The sequence below is a fragment of the Homo sapiens genome, chromosome 6 (genome assembly GCF_000001405.40).
Source record: "Homo sapiens chromosome 6, GRCh38.p14 Primary Assembly".
Classification (NCBI taxonomy): Eukaryota; Metazoa; Chordata; class Mammalia; order Primates; family Hominidae; genus Homo; species Homo sapiens.
Genome location: NC_000006.12, coordinates 106,312,221 through 106,324,300, shown reverse-complemented (window position 1 = coordinate 106,324,300; position 12,080 = coordinate 106,312,221). Strand labels below are relative to the sequence as shown.

The 12,080-nt window shown below is 37.4% G+C and overlaps 1 protein-coding gene across 9 annotated transcripts in view, besides 2 other annotated features; it reads left to right on the top strand.

The window, feature by feature from the left end:
* ATG5 (autophagy related 5) overlaps positions 1-12,080 on the top strand; it is a 141,285-nt gene that overhangs the window by 1,460 nt on the left and 127,745 nt on the right. For all 9 annotated transcript variants that reach the window (NM_001286111.2, NM_001286107.2, NM_001286108.2 and 6 more), the window contains one exon: positions 8,035-8,200. In NM_001286111.2, the coding sequence (NP_001273040.1) occupies positions 8,093-8,200 (108 nt within the window). In that variant the 5' untranslated portion in view covers positions 8,035-8,092. Of the gene's footprint in view, positions 1-8,034; positions 8,201-12,080 lie in introns of those variants that run through there.
* Positions 379-879: an enhancer, noted in NCBI's record as "H3K27ac hESC enhancer chr6:106771297-106771797 (GRCh37/hg19 assembly coordinates)". NCBI's record gives its function as "activates a minimal SCP1, AML or CMV promoter by ChIP-STARR-seq in naive H9 embryonic stem cells {active_cell/tissue: H9 hESC(naive)}" and the evidence as "EXISTENCE:reporter gene assay evidence [ECO:0000049][PMID:30033119]".
* Positions 880-1,380: an enhancer, noted in NCBI's record as "H3K27ac hESC enhancer chr6:106770796-106771296 (GRCh37/hg19 assembly coordinates)". NCBI's record gives its function as "activates a minimal SCP1, AML or CMV promoter by ChIP-STARR-seq in naive and primed H9 embryonic stem cells {active_cell/tissue: H9 hESC(naive and primed)}" and the evidence as "EXISTENCE:reporter gene assay evidence [ECO:0000049][PMID:30033119]".

Below are 12,080 nucleotides of genomic sequence, written 5' to 3'. Positions count from 1 at the left end.
AATGCGCAATACAACTTAAATGCTGTATAAATAGTTGTTATGGTGTATTGTTTAGGGAATAATGACAAAAAAGAGTCTATACATGTTCAGTACTGACTTTTTTTTCCTTCCCCGAATATTTTTTCATCCATGATTGGTTGAATACAAGGACGAAGAACCCATGGGTAGGAAGGGCCAACTGTGTACGTCAAGTGGCGGAAAGTGCTAGAGAAAAAAACCAAAGCAGTGCAGGGGTATAGGGAATGCCAAGAGATGGGAGTGGTGGCCATAGAAAAGATGATATTAACTTGGAGGCCTACGGGTGATAAAGAAGGGTGCCACTTGGAAGGAGCTGCCACTGAAGCCCTGAAGCAGGCGCATACTAGCTAGTTTGACTGGAAAATAATGAACAAGAGGGAAAGAAGTAGTGGATACTTAGGTGGAAATGGGGCCAAGTCATTTAGGAGCATGTGGGAATTTATAAGAACCTTAATTTGTACTTTGAATGAGTTGGGTTTTGAGTAAGCAGTGAGTTGATCTAACTTGTGTTTTAAAAGATCTGATTGCTATGTTGACTGTATGCAGCAGGTGCAGAAATAAGAGTTGTTAGTAGGCCATTGACTGCATTTATCCAGGTTAAAGGTCGAGGTGACTTGAATCAGGGTAGTAATAGTGGCGGTAGTGCGAAATGACCAGATTCTAGACTTTTGAGAGCAGTCAGGTAGAAGAAGGGTCAAGGACGACTCCAAGGGTTACGGACTGAGCAACTAAAGAATATAACTTGGCCGGGCGTGATGGCTCATGCTTGTAATACCATCTTTGAGAGAATCCCCAGCCTGGGCGACATAACGAGACCCTGTCTCTACAAAAAAATAAAAAATTAGCTGGGCATAGTGGCATGAGCCTGTAGTCCTGGCTACTTGGGAAGCTGAGATGGGAGGGGAGGATCACTTGACCCCCTTGAGCTCAAGGTTACAGTGACCCATGATCCTTCACTGTAGTCCATCCTGGGTGACAGCAAGACCCTGTCTCTTTAAAAAAAAAAAAAAAAAAAAAAAAAAGGACTTTTCCACTTAGCGAAACGGAAAAGACCACAGAGTGATAATGATAGGAGAACTTTTTGTTGGGAGGCCAAGGCGGGCGGATCACGAGGTCAGGAGACCGAGACCATCCTGGCTAACACGGTGAAACCCCGTCTCTACTAAAAATACAAAAAAACAAACAAACAAAAAAAACAAACCCGAGCCTGGTGGCAAGCGCTTGTAGTCCCAGCCACTGGGAGGCTGAAGCAGGAGAATGGCATGAACCCGGGAGGCAGAGCTTGCAGAGAGCCGAGATTGCGCCACTGCACTCCAGCCTGGGCGACAGAGCGAGACCCCGTCTCAAAATAAAATAAAATAAATGATAGGAGAGAGGAGGAAGGAAGATCTGAAATGGTTTTCCGTTTTGCATATGTTAAATTTCTAAATGGAAATGTCATATGTGGTGGTATATGTGAAGCCAGCCAGTTCAAAAGAGAAGTCTGGACAGAAGATAAAACTGTGGGAGTGTAAATGTATAAGTGTTATTTAAAACCATGTGAGAGATCTTCAAGGGAGTGGTTCAAGGACTGAGTCCTGGGGCATTTCAACATTTACAGTTTGGAGAGATTTACAAAATTTCCTCCCTCCCAGGGTGGGACTGTTGAGTAAAATTCCTCTTGAGAATCACTGATTCACAGTACCTGGATAGAAGGAAATAGAAAGCAAGGTCATTAGCTGAGAGAGAGGAGGAGGAGGAGGAAGAAGTGAACATTTGAGGGAGGAGAAGGTATAGAATAGTGATGTAGGAAAGTGGGAGAATAAATGGACTAGGGAAGAGTAGGAAACTAGTGTTTATGAATTTAAAGGAAGACCAGCCAGCATAGATTATAATTTTTTTTCTGTTTACACGCTTAGTTTAGTAAGTATTTGATATTTCTAGGTAGTTGGGGGTTTTGTCAGTGAAAATTACTTCAGGTAGTAGGTTAGTTTTTCTTGGTATGTAGTGTGAAAGAAACTATTATGCATTATATTGTTGTCACACCGTGCCATTTTCTGAATGACTGATTGGTTAACAGATGTTGTTGGTGGGCACCTACTCTGTCCCAGGCTCTGAACTAGATGCAGAAAATAGAAGTCAATAATAGCCCCTGCCCTCAAGAAACTTACTTCTAGTAGATTGCGTCACAGGTTGGAGTTTCTTTATTTCCAAGACAGTTCCTTGAAATTGGATGGTGATTGGATGGTGTAGTGTATGTAGGAGAGGGAAAATCTTTCTAAAATAACAAAATATGCCGAATTTAAAGTGCGACTATACTGATTTGGAGAGGAGTTTAGGGAGAAAATTTCTTAAGTAGCTAGATTCATATATTTATATATTTTTCCCCATTATTTAACAAAAATTTCAAAGCCTACTATGTGCTAACTGTACTAATATTGGTGATAAGAAGGTACTTATGACTAAATTTTGCTGTCAAAGAACTCCCAGTTCAATGTGGGGAGGGGCAGGAGACAGATAAGATAAACAGATAACTACATTGCATGATAGTGCATGCTATTAAAGAAGTAATTAGACTAGAGGCTGCATAGGGGAAAACTTCCCAAGGAGCTGATATTAAGCCGACACTTAAGAGGATTAAGAGTTGGCCAGGCGCGGTGGCTCACGCCTGTAATCCCAGCACTTTGGGAGGCCGAGGCAGGCGGATCATGAGGTCAGGAGATCGAGACCATCCTGGCTAACACGGTGAAATCCCGTCTCTACTAAAAATACAAAAAATTAGCTTGGCGCGGTGGCGGGCGCCTGTAGTCCCAGCTACTCGGGAGGCTGAGGCAGGAGAATGGCGTGAACCCGGGAGACGGAGCTTGCAGTGAGCCGAGATGGCGCCACTGCACTCCATCCTGAGCGACAGAGCGAGACTCCGTCTCAAAAAAAAAAAAAAGAGTTGACCCAGAGAGGATAAAAGAGTTGGCCAAAAGAGGAGGGAAAAAGTGTTCAAGCAGAGGGGCCATGGAAATATGAGGAAACTGTGTACTAAAAACATACATTGTTTATTGAGTGGTTACCAAATGTACTAAACACCTAACAGCCCTGTGAAAATTATAATTATCTTCATTTTACAAATATGAGAGTCAAAGAGGATGGGTTTGTTGTTCAAGACACGTAACTAATAGGTGGAAATCAGGGTTTAAACCCATGTCAGTCTGATTTCAAAGCCCCTTAACTATTTTATTGTATTTTGCATGCTGTCAGCATCTAAATCTTCCCTGCCCTTGTTCTTTATCCCTCATTTTTCATCAACTTCTCTTTCTTCCTTGGAAAGACTCATCTGTTTCTCACCAGTCCATGACTACCTCTCTAGGTCAGGCACTCATTACTTTTTGCCTTAGTTGCTGAAATTACTACCTGGCTAGCCTCTCTGACTCAAGGCTCTCCCTTCTGTGCACTGCTACCAGATAATTGTTTTTATTTTACCATTCTAAAACCGGTAGGCACTATAGGACTGGTGGATGAGATTGAGATTCCCCCTCAGTCTTCTGTTTGGTATGTTTCATGGTCTAGTCTCATTTTATTTACATTTATAGATTTGACATTAGAGGGATAATAATTGCTTGCATTTCCTAGCACTTACCATGTGTCCATTATTGTATCAAACACTTTATGGATTTTTTTTTTTTTCAGAACAGCCTTTTGACTTGGGTAATATTAATTCCACTTCACAAGTAAGGAAATTGAAGCTTAGTGAAGTAAAGTGACTTGCCTAAAGGTCACGTGTGATGTTAAGACAGGTTATGGTATCAGCTCTTTCATTATCTATTAATACTACTCTCAACCCAAAATTTCCTTAAAAGTTGGCATATATATTGCACCTGCCCACTTAATACCTTTATTGATGCTATTTTGGCCTGTTAGAATATTTGTCATCTTTTTGCCTGTCCATATTCTACCCATTCTTCAAGTTCCACATCTTTTAAAATTATTTGAACACTATAGGATGTATTAATATCTCCAACCCCTCCTCTTTCCCCTGCCCCATGAAAACTCTCACAGAGTAACATTTAATTATACCATGGACATAATGGATGTTTTGGAGTTGGGAGGGATGATGGCAATCAATATAGTATGATGGAAAGAATGTGAGATTAGAAACCTGAGTTAGGATGTGGCTTCTAATTTTGGCTCCGCCATTTATTAGCTACAAGATTTTAGAAAAATCATCTGACATCCTCATCTCAAATTTATCATTTGTAAAATGGGAACATATAGGCTTGTGTGTATCACATGTGAGGTAATGTAAAATGTATAGTGTTTCTGGAGTTACTTGATATTTAAAGTAGTATATAATCTACTGTTAACTAATTTTTATTATCTAATCTCACCTGCTTACCTCATTTTTTGGGATTCTGTTTGGTTCTGTAGTTTTATATTCATACACTGTCTTTCCAACAAATTCAAATTCAGTAAGCATTTTTTGAGCACCTACTGAATTCCAGATACCATTCCAAGTATCAGAGGTGAAAAGATGAATGAGATATGATCCTTCTCCCTAACGGAATCTATTACAGTCTGCTGGAGGAGACGTACAAATAAATACTATTGATAAAAACTTACAAGGGTAGAGGAAAAGTAGAGGTGCCAAGAGAAAACAAGGCGAGTTCTGCCTGAATCATGTGTAGAAGAAAGGTTATTTTGAGCTGGGTCCTAAAGCATGTTTAAGTTGAAAGATAAGGTAAAGAAGGCTGCTTTAGGGTAAGGGTACCACCAGCATGGGCAAAGGCACAGAAAGGACAGAAAGTGCATAGTATGTTTAGTAGATTTGGAGATTATACTTTGTTAATGATTGAGGTTTTTAAAAGTCCATTATTCTTCTTCTAGCACCTGCCACACAGCTAGGCATATCAAACGATTAAATATTTGACTCTAAATTGCATATTATTAGCAGTGTTTACTGCAAAATTTTTAGCTTTTTTATACCTATAATTACTACTTATGTTATATAATGCTTTTGATTATTATTAGTTTTTGAAGTCTTTAAATGTTGACTTTTAAACATTTTTGAGACATGTTCTTGTTCTGTAAATTATAATAGTAGATAACCTTTATAGTACATATTATATGATAGACATTGTTCAAGTGCTTTACATGTATTCATTTAATTCTTGTATCTAATGTGGTAAGTGCTGTTTTCCCATGTTACAGATGAGAAAACAGAAATAGAGAAGTTAAATGACTTACTTGAGGTTACACTGTAAGTGGTGGAGCTGGTTTTGGCTCCAGACAGTCTGGCTCCACATTTTACATTTCTAACTTCTACTGTATAGTGCTTCTCAAGAGTTAAATTTTGTTTTATTGCCTCTTTAAAAAAGTATTATTGAAAACTTAACATCCTTTAGTTTTATTCATGTATCCCCAATTTTTCTTACATATTTTTAAAGTTAAGTGTATTCACTGGAGACATGCTTTCTTATATAATTTATTATAGGTAAGCATTAATATTGAAAGATTAACATTTTAAGATCCTATAAATTTGGGTCTGTGTATTTTGAGGCAGTAAGCAGCCTTGTTTGCAGTTTTCATAAATCTGTTTTGCAGAGTTTGTTTGTTTTGCAACATTTGTATCAGCTCTACTACATTATACCTTTAGCTGCCTTGGCTGAGTTAGTTCTTCCCTTGAGGTCTTGCAAAAAATATACATGTAAGCAACAATGGTATATGGGAAATAAAGTACCAATTTATCTTTCACTAGTTTTTGTACTTAAAATCCTACTGTAGAACTTTGGTAAACTTTGCTGGAACGTAAGACTTTAAAACTCAAGCCTGTAGTTGGAGTCTTGAGGTGTTCTGCCTTCTAAGTCTATATTTGTATCTCTTTTGGGAAGGGACTCAGAAGCAGCATTGGTCATTCATTTTACTGTTCGTGACATGTGGAAGGGAGAAACAGAAGAGAATGTTATGGAAAGAAAGAGCAGGATGGTCAGGGTTCTCGTCTGGCAGCCTAGAGGGGAGAGAAGGGAGCCACACTCACATGCATGATGTTTTGGTTTATGATCATCCCTGCCTATTAATAAACATGTCAAGTGGTGTCCTGGAATCTGACCAATCAGATTACTATTCCTCCTTGAGAGGACAGTGCTTGAAGAGGAGGGAAGAGCAATTGTCTTGGATTATATTTTCTATCTGCTTCTTCTGAGAAGAAAAATAATATCAATAGTGACAATATAGTGACTTCAACTTTAAGCTTGTAATTAACTTTTATTAAATATTTTTAGTAGAGGAACTCTTCGTCTCAAATTATTTTTCTCTTCATCATCAAAAGGTGAATCTCAGTTGCAGCTGTTGACTAACTGGATGTATCATGGCTGCAGAAACAACTGCATACCACCTTTATATCAGATTCAATTTTAGATTTACTTATTTGTCATAACCTAGATTTCATTATTTTTTGCCACTAGTGAATTCACTTTAAAAAGAGCAAGCTATTAATGTAATCAGGACGTAGTGAGGTCTTTCCTATTTTCAGTGAGTTAATTTTGTGTCATTTGTAAACTTGGAAATTTTTTGCCAAATGCAGAAACTCAATAGTTTGAATTTGTAGCCTATCAGTGTGGAATGATATGAAGTTTACATGCATGTATATCATTCGCTTAAAGTAGTTGTTTTTATGGATATATTTTAATAAAAGTTAAAACACTAGTAGTATGCTGGAAAGAGCACTGGACTCAGTTTAATAACCAGAATTCTTGTTGCCTAGTACTTTTATGTTGGACATATTTTTTCCACCTCTTGCAGTTTACGTACCTGTAGATGACATTGCATCCAGTTGACCTCCAACTTTTTCTTTCTTTAACTAATTAATTTATACCATCTTAATGTCATTGGTCAGTGGAAGAGGAAAAAAAAGGGAAATAAGCTCCTTGAATAATTCAGTGTTAATAATTTATATTTGGCTAAACTCGTAAGATTATTTAGAGTGTTTTCATAGGCTACATTGTGATAGATTATGAATTAGCTGCCTATCAAAGATGAGAAATATTATTTGGATAAGTATATTGAATCTTAGTATCCAGGTGCCACATGTTGAGTTACTCTAAGTGTATATTATCAACAATATTTATTTCAGCATTTACTCATATCGTGTATTGTGATGTGTTATTCAGTTGCAGAATATTAGCATTGGAAGGCACTTGGATATTACAGAGGTCAAAAGCCATGTCCTTATGCCATACCTAGAATATTGTTTTGCAGATCTAGTGCTATATTTGTGGTATAGAGAATATTCTGAGAGATCCAAGTGGAAGCATTTACTGTTTCACTGGGGCCAGAGGGCTGTGAGCATGGTTTGCAGAGTAGGGATTTGAATAAGTGAGAGAGGAGCATACTAGGTAGGGGAATAGTAGGATACAGAGAAAGGTGTTCAGGGGGCCACTTTTGGTAGAGGGTTTACAAAAGGAAGTACAGTAATTAAAATGGAAGTATTGGTGGGATTAAATTGTAGAGAGGATGAAATTTAGAATGGGGAATGGGTTTATAGAAAGATTTTTTCCCCAATGTGAAAGAGATATTTTCTAAGATGGGAGAGTAGTTTTGCAGGAAGAGAGGAGAAACTATCTGGAGTAGGAAAAGGTGAATATATTGGACGGGGCAGGGGTAAATGCGAGAATGATCCTTTGGAGTTGGACTGTCAGGATTCACAGGGTATAGGTGAAGCTCCTCTTTAGGTAAGCAGTAGACTCTTCTGGGCTTGAAAGACTGATGCAGATACAGTTTCATTTTGACTGTGGTTCAGTACTTAAATATGCAATGAATATTACTGGCATATGTAATTTTGATCTGATTCCTTTACATAAGTAATAATTTTACATTTAGAATTTGTTGTACTCTTTTCTTTGAATTTATACTAAAGATTGGTGATCATCGTTTTTTTTTTTTGAAGTGGATAATCTTTATGGCATGGATTTTTTAAAATAATCTTTTGTTTTCTAGCAGGTTCATTCATCGTTGCAAGGATCTGACTAATGCTCTTCATTTTATTTTCAGTTTGGCTTTGGTTGAAATAAGAATTTAGCCTGTATGTACTGCTTTAACTCCTGGAAGAATGACAGATGACAAAGATGTGCTTCGAGATGTGTGGTTTGGACGAATTCCAACTTGTTTCACGCTATATCAGGATGAGATAACTGAAAGGGAAGCAGAACCATACTATGTAAGTACATTGATTGTGGCAAATGGGATATTTAACCTTGTCCATTTTTGTAAGAAAAAGCTGTAAGAACTTGGAGGCCATTATGTAACGTTTTAGATACAGCTAATTCATGCTTATTTTGGAAAAAAAATTAACACAGATAAGCATAAAGAAGGAAATAATCACCTCTAATGCTACCACTCAGAGGACAAAACCACTGTCAGCATGTTGTCATGATGCGTTCTGGACTTTGTTTTCCTTACATGTATGTGGGTATGTTAATGGAATCATCAGCTATGGTGCCTTCTTGACTTTCTTTTTCTTATGCATATATTCATATATAATAAATGTATGATAATGGAATAATAAGATGTGCTTTTTTAATAGGAAGAGATATTGAAAATAATAGGTTCAGATTGTATTCTTTTGTAGTTAGGAGATTCTAAGCAACTGTTTGTTAAAAGTGTTTTTATAGCTTAAAGAACATATAAACATGCACACATACACACACACGATACGTTCACTGAGCTATTGTATGTTATATGTGAGCTAATATGTAATATATATTTAATATATATTATAAATTGCACATAGACTTGCAGGTGTGAGTTAATGGATTATGTATTTTACAAACACTTTTCAAATGTCTTCTGATTTTGGTGTGCTTTGTTTCCCTTTTCTAAGTGCATGTATAATCCCAGTTTATGCCTCTGTCAGAGATGACATCCTGCCTGTTCACTGAATAGCCCATAATAGGCAAAGATATTCTCAATTGTCGTTACTGTTTTTTCTTTTTGTGTCTCAGGTATGCATTCTAGTGTTTACCTGGAGATGATGTGGAAAAGTAGAAGTGTATTTGTGATGAGGAAATGCTTCTTCTGTTTCACTTTAATGAAGTCTGCCCTTTGCTTTCCCCCTCATCTCTCTGAGAGGCAGTGCTGCTCCTCAGCCTGCTCCAGCTACGGAAAGTCAGATTACTGGAGGAAGCTACTTATTAAGGAGCCCATTCGCTCACTTTTTGGGTATAGGACTGTTTTTTTGTTTTTGTTTTCCTCTGTGCATCCTCAGCATCTGGCACAGGCTCCTCAAGTGGTACTACTCGGTGCATGAATGTTTCCCCAGGCTCATGTTGGGATTTTGTTTGAAATCATCTTTATGGGTTTTCTTACTAGAAATGATAGTTTTAGAGAAGTTCGGCAATCTTGTTACTGGTACTCAAGCTTATATACACGTGAGTAATCTTAACTTTGGAAATATCAACCGTTTTCTGTCTAGAAAAACATCCACAGTTAAAAACCAAGTATGGTCATAGTTTTATTTTTAGAAGAATTTCATTTGTTAGAGGTATTTTTTCTGTTCTTGTTCTGTAATATAGGTTAGGATACCATTTTTTTTTTCCAAACAAGTTTTTGCTGTTTTAATTACAACTTTTAACCTTCATTGGCTTTGTAATAGTATATAAGAGTATGTGAGAGTATAAGAGTATATTTGGCCAAATTGACAACAACTGAAAAATAATTTAAGTCTGTTTACTTTTATTTATTTATTTATTTATTATTTATTTTGAGACAGTCTCACCCTGTTGCCCAGGCTGGAGGGGGCAGTAGTGCCATCTCGGCTCACTGCAACCTCCCTCTCCTGGGTTCAAATGATTCTCATGCCTCAGCTTCCCAAGTAACTAGGATTATAGGCATGTGCCATCATGCTCGGTTAATTTTTAGATTTTTAGTAGAGACAGGGTTTCGCTATGTTGGCCAGGCTGGTCTCAAACTCCTGACCTTAAGTGATCTGCCCGCCTCGGCCTTCCAAAATGCCCGGATTACAGGCATGAGCTACTCCACCCAGCCTGTTTACTTTTAAATCAAACTCTAATGTTTGACATACTTCCTAAAGTTAGAGAAATTTCATGTAAAGAATACAGTATTTTTTCTTTATAGACCTGTTTAAATTGGAAAAGACTTGTGAGCACTAGAGCGTAAGTTGTTTTCTAGTGTTTCTAATCAAATTGAAAATGGCAAGAGTGTTTACAGTAACTGTAGGAGAAAGAGGATTGTCTTGTCTTATAGGTAATTGGTTTTTTCTTGAATTCTTCCTAATTCTTCACCCAGAGAAACCTCTTATACAGTCATGATTTGTGTTTTTGAAGACTGTTGGGTGACTGGCATATAATAAACATAAAACAAAAAACTGGAATTTAAAACCATATGGCACAATCCAAATTTTGCTATTTAAATATGTACATGCTTAAGTGTAAGTTAATACGTACAAGGAAGAAAATATATAAAACATCAGTGATGGCTAGTCTTAGAATTACAGATGAGGATTTTAGTGCCAATATAGCTGTAGTTCAGATAATATGTCCCTTGCTGTCAATTAAGCTTGAACATATTTTTAATATTAATAGTACATATATTCCTCTTTTCTGCATTTTGATTTGTTGCCTCTGTGCATAATCTTTCCGCCTATATCCTATATGTTTATCACTGAGCATTATGTTTTATTTTTCAGAGAATATTGGTAAGGAAATTTGTAGAAACTAGATAACTTTTCAATTTGTATTTTTTCGTTTATGTTCATTTAAACTGTTGCTTTTCATTTAGATTATCCAGTATAAAAACACATATACTCATTTGGATTGCTATTTTGTGACTTGTTTCTAGAGGAAATCATGATTGGACCCATGGTCATCAATGTCATGGACCCTTAACATTAGGCAGCGATCCGTTTATGTATCCTTAGTCAGGTGTCTGCCCTATTCCACTATGACTATGTCTCTGAGCCCTGACCTCTTCCTTCACTCTGAACAGGTGACCTCACTTCCTCTTTCATGAAGAAAAGAGAAATGATATGATAGGTGTGATAGGACCTCCCTTAACTTTCTGTCACCAAATCTGCAAAACCTATCTGCATCCCACACATTTACTTCTCTTTCCCTCCTGTTATAATGGAAGAAGTATTCTTCCTTCTAGGCAAGGCCCAGCCCTCTATCTTCTGCCTTCTCAGGAAGCTGGTGGTATCTGATCTTCTCCCACCTCCACCTCTGCCTTCTCTGTTTATTTTACTTTCAACTTCTTATCTGCTGGCTCCTTCACAGTTTTTAGTGTTGTCATAAATCCTTCCTATCCTGAAACAACAACCTTCTGTTGACCCCATCTCTCAACTTTGGCTTTTCCTCCATGGCTAGACTTCTTAAAAAGGTTGCTTATAGTCATTCTCTGCCTTCCACCTCCTACCAGTTAGTTTTCTGTAATCACATTTTCATACTATTCCAAGAAAACTGTTCTTGCCAAAGTCACTAATGGTATTTTTTTAGCCAAGCTCAGAGTCTGTTTGTTAATTTTCATTTGCTTTATCTCAGCAGTGTTTGATGTTGTTGGTTGCTTCTCCCATCTTGTGGCATTGTCCTGTTAGCCCTGCAGTGCTCAGTATCCTTGGTTTTGCTTTTGCCTGTCTGGTTTTTATGTGTGTGTGTGTGTGTGTGTGTGTGTGTGTGTGTGTAGTCTTTTTTGCCAGATCTTTCTCCTTTGTTTATTCCTTAATATTGGTATTTCTTAGGGCTCTGCTTTCTTTTTTTTCACTTCACTTTTTACCCCCTGGAGTTCTTGTCCATTTTTATGTCTTTGTCAAGCATTTATATCTTGACAATTCCCAATATTTTTCTCCAGAGCTCCAAACCTATATATTTGTCTGCTGGAGATCCTCACTTAGATGTCTTATAGGAGCTCAAACTATGTATGTTAGAAACTGGACTCATCAGCTTTCCCCCCAAAAAAATCTGGTCCTCTGCATTATTTTATTCCCTTCCTGTTTTGGCAAGAAGAACTACTCTTACTTGAAACCTGGGACTCATCGTTTGGTGCTTCCTTCCTTCTCTCTTATCCCAGATAGTCGGTAACTTACT